Source organism: Homo sapiens, chromosome 17 (genome assembly GCF_000001405.40).
Source record: "Homo sapiens chromosome 17, GRCh38.p14 Primary Assembly".
Classification (NCBI taxonomy): Eukaryota; Metazoa; Chordata; class Mammalia; order Primates; family Hominidae; genus Homo; species Homo sapiens.
Window position 1 is genome coordinate 36,180,404 of NC_000017.11, and position 23,095 is coordinate 36,203,498.

The 23,095-nt window shown below is 46.5% G+C and overlaps 2 protein-coding genes and 1 long non-coding RNA gene across 3 annotated transcripts, besides 1 other annotated feature; 2 read left to right on the forward strand and 1 right to left on the reverse strand.

Moving 5' to 3' along the window:
* Positions 1-2,206: 2,206 nt before the first annotated feature.
* Positions 2,207-9,105, forward strand: LOC128966684 (uncharacterized). Its single transcript, XM_054328434.1, has 4 exons — positions 2,207-2,434; positions 2,560-3,216; positions 7,411-7,624; positions 8,020-9,105. Exons 1-3 carry the CDS (start codon positions 2,207-2,209, stop codon positions 7,495-7,497), a joined length of 972 nt encoding a protein of 323 aa, XP_054184409.1. The 3' UTR covers positions 7,498-7,624; positions 8,020-9,105.
* Positions 2,330-2,841: an enhancer, noted in NCBI's record as "H3K27ac-H3K4me1 hESC enhancer chr17:34598171-34598682 (GRCh37/hg19 assembly coordinates)". NCBI's record gives its function as "activates a minimal SCP1, AML or CMV promoter by ChIP-STARR-seq in naive H9 embryonic stem cells {active_cell/tissue: H9 hESC(naive)}" and the evidence as "EXISTENCE:reporter gene assay evidence [ECO:0000049][PMID:30033119]".
* A 3,323-nt stretch (positions 9,106-12,428) lies between the features above and the next one.
* Positions 12,429-16,064, forward strand: LOC128966706 (uncharacterized). The gene is made up of 2 exons (XR_008485584.1): positions 12,429-12,740; positions 15,727-16,064. It is a non-coding gene; the product is annotated as an uncharacterized LOC128966706 (long non-coding RNA).
* Positions 14,466-16,355, reverse strand: CCL3L3 (C-C motif chemokine ligand 3 like 3). Its single transcript, NM_001001437.4, has 3 exons — positions 16,195-16,355; positions 15,395-15,509; positions 14,466-14,973 (listed from the first exon to the last, which is right to left on the reverse strand). Exons 1-3 carry the CDS (start codon positions 16,268-16,270, stop codon positions 14,883-14,885), a joined length of 282 nt encoding a protein of 93 aa, NP_001001437.2. The 5' UTR covers positions 16,271-16,355; the 3' UTR covers positions 14,466-14,882.

Consider the following 23,095-nt stretch of genomic DNA (forward strand, 5'->3'; position numbering starts at 1 on the left):
GTGTGTGTGTTCGCAGGAATATGCATGTGTGTGTGCATGTGTGTGTGTGCAGGTATATACATGTGAATGTATTTATGTATGTGCATCTGTGTGCATGTGTGTATGCAAGCATATGCATGTGTATGTATGTGCATGTGTGCGTGTGTGTGTGTGTGTGCGTGTATGTGTGTGTTGCAGGGCTTTACAGTGGACAGGATGTGGGAGGGCAGCTGCAGCTCCAAGCTGCAAGTCTTTCTGATAGAATGGTTAAGATTCCCTGGACCACAGAAAGAGTGTTTTCATTTGCACCTATTTTTATTAGCATTTAAAGCTGTATTCTTCGTAGCATGTGAAGCTTAAGTTGCTTAACTATTCTTAGAAACATTTACACCAGCGGTCCCCAAACTTTTTGGCACCAGAGAGCAGTTTTCTTGAAGACAACTCTTCCACGGACCTGGGAGAAGGGGAAGGGATGGTGCAGAGATGATTCGAGCCCATTACATTTATTGTGTGCTTTATTTCTATGATTATTTCACTGTAATATATAATGAAATAATTACACAACTCACCATAACATAGAATCAGTGGGAGCCCTGAGCTTGTTTTCCTGTAATTACGTGGTCCCACTTGGGGGTGATGGGAGACAGTCAGAGATCATCAGGCATTAGGTTCTCATAAGGAGCACGCAATCTAGATCCCTGGCATGCGCAGTTCACAGTAGGGTTCATGCTCCTATGAGAATCTAATGGCACCACTCATCTGACAGGTGGCAGGGCTCATGCAGTAATGTGAGGGATGGGAAGTGGCTGTTTCTACAGATGAAGCTTTGCTCACTGGCTGGCTGCTCACCTCCTGCTGTGTTGCCTGGTTCCTAACAGGTGGGGATCCGATTTACCCAGCAAGATAAATATATTATTATGTCAATTTAAATTATTCACCTTGAACCACCCAAAATTACCTTGCATACCTCACCCACCCAAGGGTCCCGTAGCACACTTTGGGAGCTGCAGACAGTAAACCTGGAGCTCCATAGAGCATTCCATCTCTCCACCGTCTGTGGGCTAACAGGCTGTGTTAGTTTCCTAGGGCTGTTTTACAGTACCACAGACTGGGCACCTTCAACAACAGAATGTTACTGTCTCGCAGTACTGGAGGCCATGAGTCCAAGATCAAGGTGTCAGCAGGGTGGGTCCCTTCTGAGGCTGTGCAGGAAGGCTCTGTTCCAGGCCTGTCTCCTCATGCGTGGGTGGACATCTTCTCCCTGTGACTCTTCATTAAGGGTGATTCTGGTGAGGGCTCCAAAGAGGAGACTTGGACAGAATGTTGGTAGATAAATGTGTCAGTGGAAACCAGAGGGTAGACAGGACTCCATCCATGCCCAGGGCTTTCTGGGGACAGACCTGTCCAAGCAGCAACCATTCCCAACCGAGTTCTGTTTCTGGAAAGCCAGGCAACAGGTGGGGCTGGGCCCTCTGGGATTTGTTTAGTGACCCGATTATGTGGGAGGCCTGCAGTGGGTGGTTGGGTGGGGGGTGGTACCAATGCCATCATGCCCAACCTCATTGCATCACTCACTTCCCAGGCCCTGCCCTCAACCCCTCCTGACCAGGCCCTGTCCTGGTTCTCAGCCACCTTGTCCCAGTGGGTGCTTCAGCCCACTCACTGACCAAGTGAGGGACTGACTCCAGGTTACAAAGTGCTGTGTTCATGTGACCTGAGAATACGTGTGCGCAGAGTGTGCCCACAGTGTCCTTGTAAAGTTGAGCATGTACATGTCCTGCCAGTGTGTAGGCAGCCTGTCCACACATGCCTAGGAGTGTGACTCCATGTCCTGGTAGATGGGGAAGGAGAGAGGGAGTTGTGCCCAGGGTCCCCCGATTACTTCTATGGGTGCATGTTTGTGCTTCTTGTTAGGGGTGCTTGGGGAAGATTCTGCCCTGGGTGCCCTGGATCACCTGTGTGTGTGTGTGTGCACGCGGGGACGCGCACGTGCATTAGGGGGTGTACTGTGTTACAGCATCCTCAACCAACTCTGTATGTGTGCATATGTTTGTGTGTGTGTGTCCTACAGGTGTGAGCGAGTGGATGCTTCCACTACGTGTCTGCACATGTGTGTGTGCACTTGCATTGTCCTTGCACACCTGCGTGTGTCCCGTGAGAGCGGAGCCCAGCATGTGCTGGCACCTGCAGGAACATGTGAGTGTGCGTTCTGTGGGTCCCTGTCCTGATGGCTCTCCACTTGTCCCGAGTGTCACGACGACGAGGATGGGGACCATATCTTCGGAGCCTGAGGATCCAACACAGGTCCAGCCCTGTGCAGCCGCCCGCCAAGCCGCCAGAGGACGAGCCGGACGCCGAAGGCTACGAGTGGACGATTGCAGTTAGTTTCCAACTCGCCGACTTCGCGCCCCTCCACTGGCTCCGGCTTGATGGTCCCGGCTTCGGGGTGCTCTCGGTCCCTCCCCATCGCGTCGTCGCTTTCTCCCTTGGCATAACCCCCAGCCGCGGGGCCGCAGACCCTAAGAGCTCCATGAGCTCTCCGCGCCCTGCCCACCGGCCCCGGCCCCGACCCCTCCCCAGACCGGACCAGAGAGGTGGGAAGTTTGGGGGCACCCGCTGTGGGTGTCCCGTTTCCGGGGCTGGGCTCCGGGGAGCCGGCGCGGCGCCCGCTCCCTGCCCGCCAGCCCTTTGGGAGCTCAGGCGCGGGCAGCCGCTTGTGTTCCTGGGAAGGGCGGAGCTGCGTCCCGGGGAGACACGCCTTGCAGCCGGCAGCCTAGTCGCTCCCCGCTGGCCGGCCGCTCCGTGAGGGCCCCGCAGCGGAGGGTCGGGGCTGGGGCGGGCTGGAGAGGGGGCCCCGGGCTGGGGCCGGTTCGGCCTCCCGGGTGGCGCGCGGGCCGAAGAACTAGGAGGACCGCCGGGCCGGGCCGCTTGTCCTTTGGAAAAACCTTGGCGGTTCCTCCTCTGGTGTCCGTGGACCCCGCCGTGGCGTTCTCCAGGGCCGCGGACCTTTGCCCACCGGTCGCGCCAGCTGTCCTGGAGCAGAAAGGACCCCCCTCCTCCCGGACCGAGCCCCGAGCCCCGAGCCCCATGGAGCAGGCAAGCGCCGGAGTCCCGAGGCTAAGGCCCGGCCGGCGGGCGCTCTGGCACCTTTTCCCGCCCCCGAGGGTGCCTGTCCGGCCCGGCCGGGACTGGCTGGGAAACCGAGGCCGGAAGAGGTCGCAGTCCAGCAAGGAATCGGTTTGTGTGGGGTGGGGGTGGGATGGGAGACCCCTCCCCAACCCCACCAGCCCCAGCCCAGCTGTGGCCCCCGCCGTGTCACTCAGAAAACCAGCGTCAAACCCCAGCCCTGCCTGGGATGTGGACCTTGCCTGGGGAGAGTCCCGTTCAGGCTTTTCCAGGGCCTCTCCCCTGAGCAACAGGGGTGTCTGCGCTGGGCCTGGGCACTCACCAGGGCCTGCAGGCTGCCAGTCTGGAGTTTCCCTAGCATCAAATGTGCCACCGGAAGCTGAAGGTGGGGATGACCAGTGCCCCCCGGAGCGAAGACCCCCCCATCTCTCCAGGATTGGGGGTCTGCTTAGGGGTCCACTTAGGGGTGTATCCCTCAGGCATTGGAAGTGCAGATGGGAGGCCCTGAGCCATGGTGGCTCCCCCAGTCCCCAGTTCTTTCTCTGTGTAAATCCAGCTTTGCAGGGACGGGGATGTGGTGCCTTTCCCGGAAGAGCCGGGGTCCTGGGGCGTGGGGAGGCTGGGGCTGGGTCGTGGGGAGCTGGGACTGGGGTGTGGGGAGGGGCCCAGGGTGAGCAAGCTGAAGCAGGACTGGCACAGGCCTCTGGAGGGCCTGGGGGAGGCTGGACGCCCCGGGGTGCACCCTTGCTTGTGCACTCTTCTAAGGGTCAGTCTCAGTTTGCCCATCTGTAAATAGGGTTGATTGTCCCTGCCCTACGTGGCTGTTGTGAGCATTCAATGAGCACTACCAGTCCTGGGAGACTCTTGGTGTTTTTTATTGTGCTAAAATACACAAATATAAATTTCCCATTTCAACCATTTCTTTTTGCTCCTTCACTCCCCACCCACCCACCCACCCATTTTTACCGTATAGTTCAGTCGTGCTCAGTACCTTCTACCTTCACGCTGTGTGCAACCCATCTCCAGAAGCCTCTTCATCCTGCAAAATTGAAACTGGACCCATTAAACAACACCTCCCCATTCCTCCTCCCCCGGCCCCTGGCAACTGCCATTCTGCTTCTTTCTCCACATATGGAATATATTCTATATACCTAGTTTTACATTAATATCATAGATAGCTTTGTTTTCAGTATGTATATCTACTTTATTCTTTTCAGTAATTTCATGTTTATTATGTGGCTGTACCATCATGGTTTAAACTATCCATATTTTAAAGAGTTGATTTATATTGGTTGTTTTTACAAACAGAGCTGCAAACAACAGCGGTGTGCCAACAATTTTTGTGTGTGTGGGGGGGGGTTCTTTTTTGTTTTTGTTTTTGTTTTTGAGACAGAGTCTCACTCTGTCGCCCAGGCTGGAGTGCAGTGGCAAGATCTCGGCTCACTGCAACCTCTGCCTCCCAGGTTCAAGCAATTCTCTTGCCTCAGCCTCCCAGGTAGCTGGGATTATAGGCGCCTGCCACCATGCCCGGCTAATTTTTGTATTTTAGTAGAGATGAGATTTTCCCGTGTTGGCCAGGCTGGTCTCGAACTCCTGACCTCAAGCTATCCACCTGCCTTGGCCTCCCAAAGTGCAGGGATTACAGGGGTGAGCCACCGTGCTTGGCCCTCCTTTGTTTCCTTAGATAGTGTTTCTTGAAATAGATTCCTAGAAATAAGATAGACTGAAGAGTATGTAAATTTTAAATTTTTTTACAGACTGTGTCATTGCTTTTTAAAAATGCTGATTACCAAAATGTCACTTTTTGATACTAAAAAATAGATTGTTTTAAACACACAAAGTAAGTAGGGCTTATCAAAAAGTTAATATATTTTGCATTTCTCACAAGTGTGTTGAATTTCTCCCCCTTGCATTGTACAGCAGGAATCCTGACTCAGTCTAACTTTCTTATACTTAAAAAAGTATATACTAAAACATAGGCCAGGAGTTAGCAAACGTTTTCTATAAAAGACCAGATAGTAAATATTGTTCTTTGTGGGCTATATAATCTCTGTTGCAACAATGTGACTCCACCTTTGTCTTGGAAAGCTGGGATAGATAATATATAAAAGAGTGGGAGTGGCTGTGTTTCAACAAAACTTTGTTTACAAAACAGGGGTCATACTAGATTTGTTCTGAGGACCATAGTTTCTTAACCTCAGTCTAGGCAATCCATCAAGTAATTCTGCATTCACGATAGAAGTCTTATTGTATATATTGGCTGACTGTCTTTCCTTTCTCTAATGTTAACCACTGATTTTGTGGAGCATGGATTCTAGGGAAATAATACCCAGGTAAGATGTCTATTACCATGTGTGTCTTATTTTTGAAAGAGTGGTTAAATTCTTATTGAGGCCGGGTGCAGTGGCTTATGCCTGTAATCCCAGCACTTTGAGAGGTCGAGGCAGGCAGCTCTCTCAAGTTCAGGAGTTCAAGACCAGCCTGGCCAACATGGTGAAGCCCCGTCTCTACTAAAAATACAAAAATTAGCTGGGTGTGATGGCATGCACCTGTAATCCCAGCTACTTGGGAGGCTGAGGCAGGAAGATCACTGGAACCCGGGAGGCAGAAGTTACAGTGAGCCGGCATGGCACCACTACACTCCAGCCTGGGCAACAGAGCAAGACTCCATCTCAGAACAAGTCAAAACAAAACAAAACAAACACACAAACAAAAAACTGGGAGACCGAGGTGGTCAGATCACAAAGTCAGAAGATTGAGACCAGCCTGGCCAATATGGTGAAAACCCGTCTCTACTAAAAATACAAAAATTAGCCGGGTGTGGTGGCAGGCACCTGTTCTCCCAGCTACTTGGGAGGCTGAGGCAGAAGAATTGCTTGAACCTGGGAGGCAGAGATTGCAGTGAGCCAAGATTATGCCACTGCACTCCAGCCTGGGCGACAGAGCAAGACTCAGTCTCAAAAAAAAAAAAAAAAAAAGTCTTATTGACAAGTTCAGTAGTTTCTTGTCTTTAGTCTGCATGTGTATCACTTGGGGGTTTGGTAAAAATCTAGATTCCCGCATCCAAACCCAGTTCTCTTGTGAGCATTTTAAATGACCATCCCAGGTGGTTCTGGAATGCTCATAGGATTGCATATTAGTTACACTATTTATTCGCTGCATGGCCATGGACAAGTTGTTTTAACTCTCTGAGCCAACATTTCCTCTTCTGTTAAATGGGAATATTAATAATACTTAGCCCTTGGAGACACTGTTAGAATTTGAAGCACAATGAATAATTTTTAAGAGAGCTTGACTCATGAGAAAAATAAGCTTAAATGCATGAATATATATATCAAGCATGAATTTACCTAGTGCATATGCATTATACACTGGGTGCATAATACTTTATAAAATAATCATTGTTTTAAAAAATAGAGTTTCATTATTTGGGGAGAGGCATTACCGTCATTTCCTTTCTGCTGACTTCCCCTCTTCAGAGTTTTCTGCTCTTCCCCTCCCATCCCACCACCTTGCTTTGTCACAAAACAAAGCCAATAGGATCACCAACAGTTTAAGACTGGTTTACTCAAAACGAATTCATTGTTTTACATAGCTGAACACAGAAATGATAAATAATGTTCTATAAATATTTGTTGGTTGACAGCTTTGGAACAATGTCCTCTAGAAAAAGCTGAACGTAGCCACCCACCTTGTACGAGAGCCGCAAAGAATAGCCATGTGCCTGAATATGTGTCAGCCGCTGTGTGACTGGAGGGGCTGAGGAAGGGGCGTAGAGGGTGTTGTGAGGTCCCTTCCGACAAGCAGTCAAGAACGCATAGAAATACATTACAAAAATTAAATAGATAAGTTGAAATGCATGTTAAGAAGAGCCCCAGAGTGTGGTTGCTTGGGTAGGGGTAGGTTCAGGAATTGAAGGGACGTCCCTAGGGCCTGGGTCCCTGCCTCCTAATTTGCCACAAATGTAACAGTGTCTTGTTGCTTCCAGGTCACTCAGGGATTCGACTCTGAGGTCAGTGATGCACTTGGCACCAGAACTCGATGGGGTTGGCACAGACCTGCCAGCCTCAGCCACTTTCATTCTGGAAGCTGTTAAAAGAGACAGTTATAAAAATTGAGGAATCAGCAAGAGAATTCCTGGTTCCGTGCTACCTTCTTCTCTCTGTCTTGGCAAGTGTAGGGCCTGTCCACTTGCTCAGGACTCTTTGTCCAACCTCAGCTCCCTAGACCTTTCATCAGTGGCTCAGGGGGTCTCTTCAGGCAGCCTCTTCCGGCTAACACTTCCTCCTGTCTTCCCTCTGTCAGGGGCAGCTCTTCCGTGGTTCCTTGCAGACCCCAGGTCAGGCCAGAAAACACCTCTATGGCCCTTCCCTGTGTCCCACCACCAGATAGGACCTCAAAGGCCTGGGGTCCCCAGGATGGCCCTCAAACCGACTGGTGCCCTTGCAGGCTGCCACCCTCCAAGTCCTGCTTCTCTCTAGAGATGGGCAGGAGCACCAGCCCTCACCTGGCACCAGCAGTGAGTCTCATAATTGCCATCTACCATTTTGCTAGGGGGCTTCTGGGGATCCTAGGAAAAGCAGCAGATGCCTGGGTGCTTGGGGACCTGGGCATTCTGAGGGAAGGAGCAGCGTGACCCTGAGTCATTTTTCACTGGGGACAAATGAGCCAACTCCTTCTACCCAGTGATAAAATCAGAAGGAAGCAGATGGAGACAGCACTGTTCAGGGGATGATTTGGGGATGAGAAGAACTGGCAGGAAGTTGGGGATGTGGGGGTGAGAAGAACCAGCAGGAAGTTGGGGATTTCTTGTTTCCCCACTTTTCCCTTCCATTTCTGTTTGAGCCTTAGGTTTGGCCTCCGTCTCCCTCTGTAGGAATTGCAGCTAATTAAATATTCTGCCTCTTATTCCAGCTTTACTGGTGGAACATAATATGGTCTAAGAAGAGATTTTTCCAGCAAGAGGCCATCTCTGCAAATCACCTGTGAGGCAGACCTGTGGCAATTTTATGACTCAGCTGGCCACCGGGATTGTAGCTGGGTTCTGCCGCTTGTTGAAACCTACTCAGTGTTCTCCTTCCCTAAGTAGGACAAGACCGTATCCTGCCTTTAAGATTTATAGAATAAAAACTGAAAACTCTTTGGGGAAGAAAATCTTCCCGAACAGATAGCCCAGGGCATTTTGAAAATCCCTTAGGAAGTTCTCTGTTTCACTTGGGTACCTTTGTCCTTGGACTTTGGTGATGTGGTTTGACCCCAGCCAGAGAGTGCAGGGAACAACAGCAAAAGGCAGGACAAAGACTGACTCGTGAGAGGAGGCCCAGGAACAGGGGGGCATCGTGAATGAGGAGGACGTGGGGGCCCAAGAAAGTGAGCTCTTGCGCACTCAGTCACCAGCCCCCTTCTGGGGTCCAAGCTGTGTCCCCTTCTCTAAAGAGGTAAGCCCTGAGTCATGGGAAGATGGAAACCGGGGCTGATGAGACAGGATGTTTTTTAAGCACCGTGGTATCTTGTTGACTTGCACATGCACGGGGGTCTTGGGTAACCACAGGGCTCAGGGTATTTGCAGGAACAGTTCAAGTGCTCACTTGTCTTGGGGCTGTTTATGGGGAAGTGGTTTCCACAGTGAGAGGACGTGAGATATTGTTGTCACCCCGGACCACACTTAGCTAGTTCCTTCTCACTAAAGCTCTGTAGTCATATTTTCCCTGGCAGAGCAGAAACTTCTATGTTATCCCACAGCTGTTCTAACGGCGTAGACTTGACTTATGCAATGATGCCAGGAGTCCTGAGCAGCACAGCCCAACTTCAATCACACACAGATGGACAGAGCTGTATTAGCAAAGCCTGAGCTACTGAGCGATGAGAGTACAGCCAGGCTTTCAGACATCTGTTCATTCAAGAGAGATATGCGCTAAGCCAAGGACCTAAAGATGTGTTTAATGTGGGTGCTAATATGCATAAGGAACCTTGAAATAAATGTTCTTAGCCTTTGGCCAAGAGGGTCCATGTCTAGGAATCTATTCTCCATAGAAATAAATTCAAATATGGAAAAAATGAACAATGCATAAGTGTATTTGGTCCCCAGCATATTTATAGCAACTTAAAATTGGACCCAATTTAAATGCCTATGATATGGAAATTGCTGAGAAAATTATGGGCTCTTCCCTTAATTGGCTATTAGGCAGCCTTTACAAACAATGCAGTGACATGAGAAATGCTTATGTTATGGTAAGTTTAAAAAACTCAAGATGCAAATCAGCTTATTTTAATCAGGAGCCACCTAGCATTTGGGATGTGGTCAATCCCACATAATGTATTTTTGTGGGTGCAGTTCCCAGGAAAGAAGAGGAATAAAAACGGCAAGTATGAAGTGTCTCCTTCGCTTGCAGTCTCCTTGTCTACCCCTTTGTCCATCCACTATGAAAGGACTCCCTTCTGTTCCTTAATATGGACAATTTCTATTGAGGACTCATTGTTCTAAGAATTGTCTCATCTCCTCCTGCATCCTCAGTGCCCGATCTTTGGCTTCTATGAAGGAAGGTGGGCAGTGCCTATGGCAGGTCCAGTTCTACCTTTCTCAGTATGTTCTGGCGTGGGTATGTAGCCCCATTTTCTAGTGGTTACCTTGACATCATGAAGAGTTTATGTCTCTTTTGCCCTAGGTTTGGGCAATAGTCATTCACTGTGCAACAGGAAATACACGAGTCAGCATCTTATTAAAAATAAAGTCATTCAGGAAAGTGGACGACTAATAGTTTCTAATCTAGAGAGCATAGGAGAAGAAATGTTTACCACACACAAAGTATTAGTGCCTTTTATATCACGAAGACAAAAATAACAGGAAAAAGACAAACACATTATAGTGAAAACTTGTTTTTCCTAACCAGCATCTATTCTGCATGTTTCCTGATGCCCGAAACTCACATTTCCTCAGGAAAATCTCCCTTCTGCACCATTCTCAGGCTTTAAGTTTATGTAAAATTCAGTAAACCCAAAGATTCAAGTTATGTGCCTTGATTAACTTAAGCAAATCAATGAAACCCATCCCCATAACCACAGCGACAGGTTAGGAAATTCGGTTCCTAAGTCAGTCACATCCGAAAGGGCCTAGTGATGTTTTTTTCCAGTGGGATCACAGACTCACTCTTCCTTGCAGAAAATGAACAAAGGATTCATGTAACACTGGCAGGTACTGGCAGCCACCCAGGGCCTCTCACAGGAAAGGGAGATCAGAAAGAGAAGCAAAGAGGACTCATGAGATACCATAGGGCTGCTGCGTCCAGCCTTGCCTGGAGCTAGGGCCACCTCGATGCCCTATAGTCTTGGAGCCACAACGTGCATTTACTCAAAGCCTCTTTGAGTTTGGTTTGCTTGTTTGCTTTCTGCCTGGAAACTGCCAGCATCCTGAGAGATACGAGATCTGCATCTGTGCAGAGACACAGGGTTTGTTAAAAGTCACAGGCCCTGACTGAAGTGTGGAACTGGCTGAAATGAGAAAGTGGTAATTTGGGGAGGACCTTGTGAAATGGAAGGAGTTTTAAACCTTACATGCATCAGAATTACCTGGAGCCTTGTGAAAACACAGGTTGCTGGGCCCTAGTCCATTAAGAAAGGAAGTGGGGCTTAGAATGTTCATTTCTCCCATGTTCCCAGGTGATATTCACCATGCTGTCCTGTCTGGGCACTACCTTTTGCCATACCCATTACAAGGTATTGCACGTGCTGGTTGAACTATGGTCTGTCTTATTTTGGTGCTAAAAGCCTGTGCCAAATACCAACGCTGCAGCATTAAGGAATGTGATAGAAAAGATTCTGAATATAGGCCAGGCGCAGTGGCTCACGCCTGTAATCCCAGCACTTTGGGAGGCCGAGGCAGGCAGATCACGAGGTCAGGAGATCAAGACCATCCTGGCTAACATGGTGAAACCCCGTCTCTACTAAAAATACAAAAAATTAGCCGGGCGTAGTGGTGGGCACCTGTAGTCCCAGCTACTTGGGAGGCTGAGGCAGGAGAATGGCGTGAACCTGGGAGGCGGAACTTGCACTGGGCTGAGATCGCGCTACTGCACTCCACTCCAGCCTGGGCGACAGAGCAAGACTTCGTCTCAAAAAAGAAAAAAAAAAAAGAAGATTCTGAATATTGGAACTTAGTAGCTATGTATTACATCAGTAAGGTCCTTTAAGAAAGAGTTTAGGCTGCTTTGAAATGGGCTCATCTGAAATTGAAAAAGGAAGAAATTGAACTTGCTAAAAAAGGCCCTTCCAACTTATTGACTGAGAACCCAGTAATCTGGAGACTTGAAGGGCTGTAATGGCAGAATTTTCTACTCTAAGATAAAGTTAGCATGAGCAGAGACAGGAAGATGAGAGACCTAATGAGGCCAAGGGTCAAATATTCATCACCTCCACATGGGCCAAGATGCAGGCAGAGGTCTCTCACCAGGGACTTGGTGGTAGAGGTGACACTGGTAGTGAGGTCTGTGCTAGAAAGTGCACATCCCTGGCTGGGCGCGGTGGCTCACACCTGTAATCCCAGCACTTTGGGAGGCTGAGGCAGGTGGATCACGAGGTCATGAGTTCAAGACCAGCCTGGCCAACATAGTGAAACCCCGTCTCTACTAAAAATCCAAAAATTTAGCCAGATTTGGTGGCAGGCACCTGTAATCTCAGCTACTTGGGAAGCTGAGGCAGGAGAATCTCTTGAACCCAGGAGGCTGAGGTTGCAGTGAGCCAAGATCACACCATTGCACTCCAGCCCAGGAGACAGTACAAGACTCCATCTCAAAAAAAAAAAAAAAAAGAAAAGAAAAAAGAAAGTGCCTATCCCCAACCCCATTTAAAATGCAAATTCGAGCTTTGTAACTGAAAACATCTCTGCTTCTGGCTACCTGGCCCATGGAATTGATCAGAAGCAAATAGTAGCCTATGGACATTAGAAGGGAGTCACATTGCCAAAGAAACCACAAGACTGGTTCCAAACAGTCGCTGATTACACAATACCTAAGGCAACCTCAGGCTAACTCACACAGACAGGAAGTCAGCAGCCTCCAGAAAGCAGATCCTCCACATTGCACATCTCAGATTGTCCGTGGAGGACATTCCCCCAGGGAGGAGAGCTAGGGACTGCCAGATCAGCTGAACTGCTTAAAAATGCAATTCCCATTCTCCAGTTCCCTAACAGGAGTCTGTGTTTAACTTACTCTGTTTGTTCATAACACTTGTATTTAGGGAATATTGGGCATGATTAAACTTTGTTTAGCTTTGGGTTTCTGGACCTTGTGAAACAATTCAGTGCAGGCAAATATTGTATTCCCCTATATTTTTTTCCTGAAAGTCAATAAAGAAGGAATGATGACACCTTCACTGCATCTATGGGGACAAAAGCTGCTCGTGTGTGTGTGTGTGTGTGTGTGTGTGTGTGTGTGTGTGTAAGAGAGAGACAGAGAACAGCCTTGTCAAAAGGATGTGTTTGTTGCTGTACCCTCATTATACGAAAGCCATCATGGCATCAAAATGCTGTAAGCCAGGCTGAGCTCTATTCTCTCTGCATCAACTCAGAATCCCTACCAGAAAGTGGTTGTGATGGATGGAATATCACCCATCAAAGAACAGGGTAAGATGAGACCAGAGAGGTAAGCTATGCAAGCTAATCAGAAAATAACTCAAAGTTTTAAAAGTGCAGAATATAAAAAGGAAAAACCCTCATTCCTAAAAAAATTTAAAAAAAGCCTCATTTCCTCAAAGAAACGACAGTTAGCTATTTGATGTGTGTCTTTCCAAATATTTGCCTATGTAAATATATGTGTGTATATGGCTTTTAAAAATAAAAACAAAATAATATCCTTTACAGACAGTTTTGTAGCATATGTAGAGAATATATATGCATATACTGAATGTAAATAGATATGCATTTTACCTAGAATATTGAGGACACTTTCCACAGTTATAGATGTGTGCTGCTTTTGTTTACTGACTGCAGAATATTCCATTGATGGACATCTTAATCCTCTACTTATTAATCCCCTACTGATGACTGTTTGCATTTCTTTGCTCTTTACCAACCATACTTGAAAGAATATCCTCATGTCTACATATTCTTATCTTTTGGCAGTGTTTCTATGAAGCAGATTCCTAGAAATGGGATCAGGTCAAATGGGATGTAGGTCACATAGTATGTGCATTTTAATATCTGCTAAGTAGTAGTGTTTAATTATGCTTTAAAGAGTTTGAGCCCTACAATTCTAAACATGTTTGGACACAGAAATTAGATTATTTTAAACAAAATGAAATAAGCATAGCTCATAAAAATTAACACGTTTGGTTTTCACACAAATATTTTGAATTTCCCTTTCTTCTGCAAAAAGGACCCTAGCTTAGTATGCATTTCTTGTACATATAATGCAAGCAATCCATCTATTAAATAACTTACCTTTCAAACCTATAGACAGCATCCTGCTCCACACAGAAGCTGGTTGTCTTTTCATTCTCTAACATTAGCTATTTATTTTGTAGAGTGTAGATTCTAGAGAAATAATGTATAATACACCTGTTGCCATATGCAGAGACTTACCACATTTAGAAAACAGTGGTGAATTCTATTGACAGTGGCTCTCAGTCATTAACATGCTATGGAACACCTCATGAGCTTGATAAAAATATCAGTTCCCAGGTCTACACCTAAAGATCCTGATGTAATTGGCTTAAATAATCACTGCTGAAACACTCTATGTCAACTCAGAATCCTGACAGGAAGTGGTTGCAATGGATAAAGTATCATCTGTTAAAGAATGGGGTAAGATTTGAGTATAGGCGGGTCATACTTTGGGAAATAACTTGGTCAATGGTTAACAGCATAGTCTGTAGTTCAATAAAAGTCCAGTTTTGGAACACAATTGACCGTTTACGTGCTGTGTAACCTCAGCCAAGTTGTCTAACCTTTCTGAGCCCTGGGTTACTTTTCTGTCAAGTGGAGGTATTAATAGTACCTAAGCTGTACTATTGCATTGGTAAGATTAAATGAACAATGTATAAAAAGCACTCAGTAGGAGGAGTAAGCCTCAACAATGTAAATAATTGCTATTAAGAGCTTGATTCATCATGAATATGCCCTACAGAATACTCTGCTTAATGGTGGCCATTCAAGTAGTTAATTCTCCTAGAGCGTGCATATTACGATTTGAGTTATAACATATTCGTAGTTTCAATGTTCCAGAATTTTGTGAAGTGGATAACTCTGTCGCAGCGCTCCCCATCTCTCCCAATTTCCCTCCATTTCACCTCTTCCTAATCTTTGCCTATGATTCCTCTTAACCAGTGATTTTGATTTGCCAGAAAAACAAAACCAAACTCAATACTGGTTTACCGTTTAAAAGAACATCTTTATTATTTCCCCAGGCCGATCACAGCCCTGAACAAAAGCATCTGATACACATTTGTCAGTCTGGTGGCTTTGGTGCCATGACTGCCTACACAGGCCGATGACAGCCACTCGGTTGTCACCAGACACACTGTGAGGGAAGGTGGAGGGGACAGGGGGAACTCTCAGAGCAAACAATCACAAACACACTGTGAAATCAAAAATAAATTATAAAAACTAAATAGTATAAATAAATTAAAATTTAAGTTAAGAAGAGTCCCACAGTGTGGCTGTTTGGCAATAACCAGTCCATAGAAGAGGTAGCTGTGGAGGTCACACGCATGTTCCCAAGGCTCAGGCTCCTGCTCCTCCCCACTGGGCCCACTGAGGTCGCTGGGCCTCGAAGCTTCTGGACCCCTCAGGCACTCAGCTCCAGGTCACTGACGTATTTCTGGACCCACTCCTCACTGGGGTCAGCACAGACCTGCCGGCCTCTCTTGGTTAGGAAGCTGTGGAGAAGGGAGGAAGAGTTAAGCACTGGGGAATCCAGCCGGGGAATCCTGGGCCCACCATGGCCCTGACATCCTGCTCTCTGTCCTGGGCAGCTCAAGGCCTGCTCCTCTCTCAGGGGCCCCCTGCCTATCTCCGTCTAGAGAGCTTCTCTCAGTGACTCCAGGCAAGGGGGCCCTCAGAGTGTCCTGCTGCCTCCTTCTTCCTGTCCCTTTCCTCTGGCCTGGGGCAGCCCTTCCTGACTCTGTAACACCCACCTCACTCCAGCCCCAAGTCAGGTCACACCTCAGTGCCCTGCGTCCTGTATCCCCGATAGGCTCCTGAAGGCTGGGCCTTTCCAGGATGGCCTTCTGGCCTGTTTCTGCCCCCACCCTGACACTCCCTACCTCCCTAGAGGTGAGCAGGAAGACTGGCACTTACATGACACTGGGCTTGGAGCACTGGCTGCTCGTCTCAAAGTAGTCAGCTATGAAATTCTGTGGAATCTGTCGGGAGGTGTAGCTGAAGCAGCAGGCGGTCGGCGTGTCAGCAGCAACTGCGGAGAAAGGAGAGAATAAGCCCGAGTCACAGCTCAGAAGAAAAGGCCAGGCAGCTTCTGATCCCTGAGTGGTTGAGGAGGGCAGGCTTGCTCAGACCAAGTGACTGCAAGGCATTTGGGGGGTTTTGCAGAGAAATGTCTCTTTGTTTCTGTCTATATTCCTCTTTCCCCTTGACTCTTCATAGTGGGTTCTCTGTTTCTCTATGTGATCCAGATACCTGAATGGACTGTTCTCTTAGCTCTCTTCATGGAATTTTGTCGGTTCAAGAAGTCATACCCCAGCCCAAGAGAAGCCCTGGACATCTCTCATAAGACATCCAAGGGACAGGGCTCCTGGGAGACCTAGGGTGAGCTGGAGAGTGAAGAACAGACCCCACTGGGAAGTAAGCAGCCCTGGATTCTGCCTCTTGCAAACTGATTCGTTTTGAACCCTGTTTTTCTATCTGTACAAGGGACTGTAACTCCCCTGCCCCTGCCTAGATTCTCATACCTGGAGACTAGGAGGGCTAAGACCCCTTCTAGAGATAAAAATAAAAGTTGTGAAGAAAAAGACCAAGGTGTTTGGCAGCGCTTTAAGAACTTCCTTCTTTTCTCTTCGGGGCTCTCAGGCCACAAAAAAAGACTGATGTGGTCTAACCATGGCCAGAGAGTGGTGATACCCACAACAACAACATGGACTCACGTGGTGCAGAGAGGACCTGGTTGCAGAGAGCCATGGTGCAGAGGAGGACGGCAAGGGCAGCAGTGGAGACCTGCATGATTGGGAGCAGGTGATGGAATGTGGGCTCGAGTGTCAGCAGAGCCAAGAAGGGACTGACTACTCTTTGCTGCCTGCGTCCTTCTGATGTCTGAAGCCATCTCTCCTCTTTATAGGCAGCCCTGGCGGATGGGGAAATGGAATCTGGGGGTGAGGAGGGAAATTTTTAAGTGTAGTGATGCTGTCATGCTGAGTGTTGCACAACTCAGGGTCCCTGGTGACCACAGGGGCTCAGGATATCCAAGAATAGCATCTCTGAGCTACTCTCTAACTCTCAGCTCTCAACTCATGACTGGTTCTAGCTTCATGGGGTTTCTCCTGTGAGTGTGAAGAGGGGTGTGTGTCAACCCAAGGCTATTCTTAGTTGATCCCTTCTCATAAGAACTGGTCTATGCAGCCAGGCATGGTCGCTCACACCTGTAATCCCAACACTTTGGGAGGCCGAGGCTGCAGATCACCTGAGGTCAGGAGTTTGAGACCAACCTGACCAAGAAAGAGAAACTCCATCTCTACTAAAAATACAAAAGTAGTCAGGCGTGGTGGCACATGCCTGTAATCCCAGCTACTCGGGAGGCTGAGGGCAGGAGAATCGCTTGAACCCAGGAGGTGGGGGCTGTGGTGAGCTGAGATCATGCCATTGCACTCCAGCCTGGGCAACAAAAGTGAAACTCCATCTCAAAAAAAAAAAAAAAAAAGAATTGGTCTATGCATGAACTCTCCAGCCCCATTCCTTCCCACAGAGCTGTAATTCTGCTTCCTCAGCTGCTATAACCACAAGGATAGGGTCAATGGGCTGATGCTGTGGAGGGCTAGACAACCCCCAGTCCTCCCAGAGGAAAGGAACTCAATGAAAGCTGGAGGAATAGAAAGCATGAGGTCACGTTTCAGTCATTTGTCTATTTATTAGTCTCGGAGTGACTGGGGCGCTGTGTTAAACGCTAGTTGTGGATCATAAAAATACTTTAGAGGTGGGTGTCAGTATGTCAGGTGCCTAGAAATATGTGTAGCCATTAACCTAGAAAAAGCATTTCTGGGAAAGAGTTCTGTGGAAACAACCCAAATATGGAGCCATCTTCAAACATAAAGATACCTGACCCAGCATCATTTATAACTCTAAAATAAGCAAAGCTAAATTTTTCTCTATCAGGGAATGATAAATTATCCACAAGATCCTTTATTATTAAGTCTCTAACGTGAATGAAGTGGCATAAATATGCTTATAACATCAGTGGTTAAAAAAAAAGCAAGATAAAACATTATACAAATTCTATAAAATTTGAAGAATTGTATAAAGATATATATATGCCATGCCAACTCTAGGCATGGAAAAAATTAAAAGGCTTGGAAATACATGCCTTAAAGAATGAATAGTGCTTAGATCCATGGGTGATTTATTTTCTTATTTTTTTCTTTTTCTGAATTTTCCTCATTTTATTTAGTGAGACTTTATTACCTTCTTGGTCAACCCACAAATTTATGAACTAATTTTGTTTTAAAACATTTCCAACATCACTGGTTGAAAAGTGGGTTGTTGTCAGTTGTTTAATCTGAAAGAAATTACTGATAAATATGCTACAGTTTCTGTTCAATGGGCTTTGCCAAAATGAAGTCTTGATTTCCCATTTCTTTGAACCATTTTAAGGATCCTATACTATACTTACATAAATAATGCCAAACTGAAGCAGTTTTTTCCTTATTCTTTTCAACACATAATTTCAGTGGTGTGGAAGGGTCTCTACCTTCTCAGCCAGATTATATGCTTTTTTTTTTCTTTTCCATACTTTGTTATTTTATTATTTTGCAATCAATCAGCATATCTCATTTTATAATGAGAAATAGATTTAGTTGGTTTTAATGATCTTTGTTTCTGAGATGCCCCTGGTCTCATGGGGGCAGGTAGAGTGTATGAACAGGTAATTGTAAAACTCTTAGTAGAAAAAGAAATGAAAGCTCAGAACCCCATGAGGAAGAAGTGACCTTCCACCAGAGGGTTGGGGAAGGCTTCATGGAAGGGATGGAACTTTAGTTGTGTCTGGATAACTGCCCGGGATTTAGGCATCTATAGATGGGTGGGCAGTGGAGGCCCAGCTGAGGCAGAGTCCTGGGTGTGACATTGTGGCTCAGAGGAAAGAGGGGGTGCTTCAGTGGAGCTGCAGAGCAGTGGGGGTGAATATGGATGATAAAGGTAAATTGGGACCAAACCAGGACAGGCCTTGAATTCCCCCCAAAGGGGTTAGAGTTGACACACTTGATGCTGGAGAACAACGGAGGACAGAAGCCAAGTGGGACCACGCCTTTGAAATTCTGTCCTTCCTGAGTGTCTTTAGAGTTAGGTCTTTTAATACACATGAGCTCTGTTTCCATTCCACCCCAGTGATGGCTAGTGCCAGTCTTGAGGGAGGAGAAGCAGAGGCAAGATCAGGGGCCGTGGTAGGTTTCATCAGAGCTTTGGCATCCACGTATCTTCCCCTATTGCTACCAATTCCAAATAAAGGTATCTCTGCCACTTGTCTCATTAGAAACCTACATCACAGGCAATGACTCCTTCTCACCCCACCCTCTGCCTCTCAGCTCTCGTTGATACCCTGAATTGCGTTCCCTCACTCACTTCTTAGGGGAACCCCCTCCATACTCGTGATTCCTTTTCTGGGAGCTGGCTTCTGTGAGTTGTGGAGAGTGAGAAAAGGAAATGGAAACTGCTGAATCAGTCAGTGTTCTGATAAGGGACATCCTCTATCTCTGTGATTACAGTACAGTGTGTTATAATTAGTTACCTATGTAATTTGCTCTTCAAAAACCTAGACCATGTCCTGTTGATTTTATTTTAGTTTCTTTTTCTCAAGAAATTTATAGTTTAATAAAGGCAATGTGGGAGTTTGGAAACAAACTTTGATTTTGTACTAATGATAGATTAGCAACTACACAAATTTTAGTTCACAATAAGTAATATTTATCGAGTGATCACCATGTGCTGATTTCCATAATATGGATTTACATGTTTGAACTGTCTTCAAAACAACCCTATGATTTAGTTACCAGTATACTTTCTTAGTTGAACAGGTGAAGAAACCAAAGTAAATAGAGGTTAAGCAATTTTCCGAAGGCCGTAAAGCTGATGACTAGCAGAGCAGGGATTCACATCCAGGTAGTCTGACTCTAGGTACCACACGCTACACGTCCTGTACCACAACTTATTATATTTGATCCTCATACCAATCCTATAATGGTAGATTTTTTAGAGTGTCTTCTCAGATTGTAAACCAACTCCAGACCATGTCTCGTTGGTTGATTTAAACCAAATCCTAGTACATGATGATTATAACATGATGAACCTCCTGACCTAGTCTCTATCTCTTATTATTGTGTTCTTTATAATAAAGATGATTTATTGAATATATAATTCTATCTCAGTGTTTATATATTTGTAAGACTTTCTCTATCAATCCCCAAACCAGGAAATAGCCCTTTGCCATGTGTTTTGGCTTGGAGTAAAATATAGTTGCACGCATAGCATTTGCTTAATTTATATACGTTGAATGAATAATGTAAGGGAGATGTAGGACGGGGTTGAGTTGGGAGGGTCTTAGACATTTCCTAGGTGGTAAATTGATGTTCCCAGTTGAAATGACGTACCCAGGGTCATGCAGGTGGAATTGGTCAGTTTTATATTCCACTGTCTGTGTTAGTTACCAGTGTATCTCCAGTGATAACCACAATGCCTGACATATAGTGAAGCTTAATATCTATTTGATGAATAAATAAATCACTGATTTGACTAACAATATGTGTTATGCCTGAACTCTCACTATGGAGTTGAAATACTAATGGGAAAGGTAGGATAAGAAAGGCCATGGTGAGTGGGAACGGGGAGAGGATCAGGAAAAACAACTAATGGGTACTAGACTTAATACCTGGGTGATGAAATCATTTGTACACCAAACCCCCATGACACAAGTTTACCTATGTAACAAACCTGCACATGCATATCTGAACTTAAAATAAAACAAACACACACATACACACACACAGAATCAGGAGAGACAGTCAGAAGCATGACAGGTCTCCAGAGCCAAGGAAGAATTTTTAAATAAAATGAGAATTGAAGCCAGGCACGGTGGCTCATGCCTGTAATCCCAGCACTTTGGGAGGCTGAGGCAGGCGGATCTCCTGAGGCCAGGAGTTTGAGACCAGCCTGGTCAACATGGTGAAACCCTGTCTCTACTAAAAATACAAAAAATTAGCTAGGCGTGGTGGCACATGCCTGTAGTCCCAGCTACTCGGGAGGCTGAGGCAGGAGAATCACCTGAACCCAGGATGCTGCAGTGAGCTGAGATCGCACCACTGCACTCCAGCCTAGGCGACAGAGCGAGACTCCGTCTCAAAAAAAAAAAAAAAAAAAAAAAAAAAGAATTGAGGGTCCCAATAAAGATACAATTTGAAAGAGAAATGTAAATTAAACTTATATAAAGAAGTTTTCAGTAACTTGGATCTAAAAGTTTATGATTTGCTTTAAAGATAAAGGAAAGAAAGAAAGAAGAAAAAGAAGAAAGAGAAAGAAAGAAGAAAGAAAAAAGAAAGAAAGACGAAAGAAAGAAAGAAGCAAAGAAGGAAGGAGAGAGAGAAAGAAAAGAAAAGAAAAGAGAAAAAGGCCATGGTGTCACAGTTTTGATCTTTGGGAAACTGACCACCCAAGATTCCTTAGGTGGTGGTGACAGTAAGTAGCCAGCAGTCAACACCATGGACCCTTCAGCATGGAGGGATTTGATTTGTGTCCCAGCGTTCTGGCTCATTTCAGCCTCTGCGAGGCCCCACCTCAGTCCAGCAGAGCGTCCCAGTCCACAGTGCGGGGAATCCTGGCTGGGCAGTTTGTCCTCTGCGGCGTCTTTGCCTTGCGCTGCTCAGCTTGCCTCCCCACTGTGTGCTGCTGCCTGTGCTCTCCAGTGCGGAGCATTGCTTTCCTTCCAGATTCTGGCCCCGAGGCTCCACTTCCCCAAGTGTCACCCTCCTCTATCTCCTTTGGCAGCAGGCGCCCCAGGGATGGGTTCACTGATGATGACATCCTGTTTGGCCCAGCTTTGGCCTCCTTTTCTCATATGTGGTCTGCGTGGTCAGGTTGCAGCAGGTGTGGGCCCCACTTTTCATGCAGGCAGAAGCAGCAGCCTGGAGTCCCCTGTCTAGTATCTTAGACAGACAATGTCTCATTGACACAGCCCCTTCTTTCTGCAGCCAGCCCCTTGTTTCCCGTCCTGAGTCCTTGTTATTTTCTCTAGCCATTTCTTGCATGTGTGCAGTAGGTCAGGGCGTATGTCTTGGTACTGGATCCGATCCCTCTCCTGGTCCCTTGCCCTTTCTTCCATATTCTCTACCCAATAAAAAGTGCCTCTTCCTATCAGTCTTCCAGTCCAGAAAGCTGAGAGTCACCCTTGTCTCCTCTTTCTCTGTCATCTCCTACAGTTATTCAATCACCAACTCTAGTCTACATTCAATTTTACGTGCATCTGCCTCTCACCATTCCCACTGCCTCTGTCTTAGGTCAGGTTCTTATGGATTCTCACCATGACAACTAGAAGAGGGTCCTAGCAACTGCTTTTTCTTCCACTTTTGTCTCTAATTTATTTATTTATTTTGAGACAAGGTCTCACTCTGTGGCCCAGGCTGGAGTGCAATGGCTCGATCTTGGCTCACTGCAACCTTGGTCTCCCAGGTCAAGCAATTCTTGTGTCTCAGCCTCCCAAGTAGCTGGGATTACAGGCATGTGGCACCACACCCAGCTAATGTTTTGTATTTTTCGTGGAGACGGAGTTTCACCATGTTGGCCAGGCTGGTCTTGAACTCCTGGCCTCAAGTGATCTGCCTGCTTCGGCCTCCCAAAGTGCTGCGATTGATTACAGGAGTGAGTCACCACGCCCGGCCTAGTTTTGTCTCTTTTTAATCTATCTCACCATACAGCATCCAATATACTTTTGCTAAAGCTCAAATCAGTCTCTGTTTCTCTCCTTTTAAAATCTTGCAAACATTCTGCATCGTTTCTGACATGAAATGGAAGCTTCTCTGTAACCTGACCCCTGTCTACCTCTCTGGCCTCGTGACTTGCCTGCTGAGACTTCCTGAAAACCAAGACCCAGCCTTTTTGCACTACTTGTGGTTCCTTAAATGTGCAGCTCTCTACCTTGCTTTTAATGAAGGAGGTGCCCACTTGGTAAAGCACAATTTCACCTTCTTGTAAACCACAGGGCAGAGTGAAATGCTATGAATGTGGGCACATCCCGTGACAGCTGCAGGGATTCATATTTAGAACAATTAAGGAAAAACATTATGTAATTTCCCATCTTTTCTTTTCTTCTTCTTGTTGTTGTTTGTCTTTTTTTGACAGAGTCTCTCTCCGTCGCCCAGGCTGGAGTGCAGTGGGGGCGATCTCAGCTCACTGCAACCTCTGCCTCCCCTTCCCCCTCCCCCTGGGTTCAAGTGATTCTCCTGCCTCAGCCTCCCGAGTAGCTGTGATTACAGGCATGTGCCACCATGCCTGGCTAATTTTTGCATTTTTAGTAGAGACAGGGTTTCACCATGTTGGCCAGGATGGTCCCGAACTGGCCTCAAGTGATCTGCCCACCTCAGCCTCCCAAAGTGCTACAATTATAGGCATGAGCCAGCAAACCCAGCATGTAATTCCCCAAATTTTCTAAGAAAAAGAGAGAAATCCATGGATCTTGCTGTTCAAAGACATGCAAAATGCACAACAGAAAAGACATTTTACACCAGAATAACAGAAACTTTGGTTGTTATGCTTTTAACATAAATTTATAATACAGCACACTTCCCTTTTCTG

What these genes read in the sequence shown, in the direction of transcription:
- LOC128966684 (XM_054328434.1), top strand. Translation starts at nt 2,207, where the DNA reads ATGGCTCTCCACTTGTCCCGAGTGTCACGACGACGAGGATGGGGACCA. An exon ending in CCGGCTTCGGGGTGCTCTCG is followed by an intron (nt 2,435 to 2,559) that starts GTCCCTCCCCAT and finishes ACCCCTCCCCAG; the next exon opens with ACCGGACCAGAGAGGTGGGA. An exon ending in CGCAGTCCAGCAAGGAATCG is followed by an intron (nt 3,217 to 7,410) that starts GTTTGTGTGGGG and finishes TCCCTCTGTCAG; the next exon opens with GGGCAGCTCTTCCGTGGTTC.
- CCL3L3 (NM_001001437.4), bottom strand. Translation starts at nt 16,270, where the DNA reads ATGCAGGTCTCCACTGCTGCCCTTGCCGTCCTCCTCTGCACCATGGCT. An exon ending in CCAGGTCCTCTCTGCACCAC is followed by an intron (nt 15,510 to 16,194) that starts GTGAGTCCATGT and finishes CTTTCTCCGCAG; the next exon opens with TTGCTGCTGACACGCCGACC. An exon ending in TGCTCCAAGCCCAGTGTCAT is followed by an intron (nt 14,974 to 15,394) that starts GTAAGTGCCAGT and finishes CCTTCTCCACAG; the next exon opens with CTTCCTAACCAAGAGAGGCC.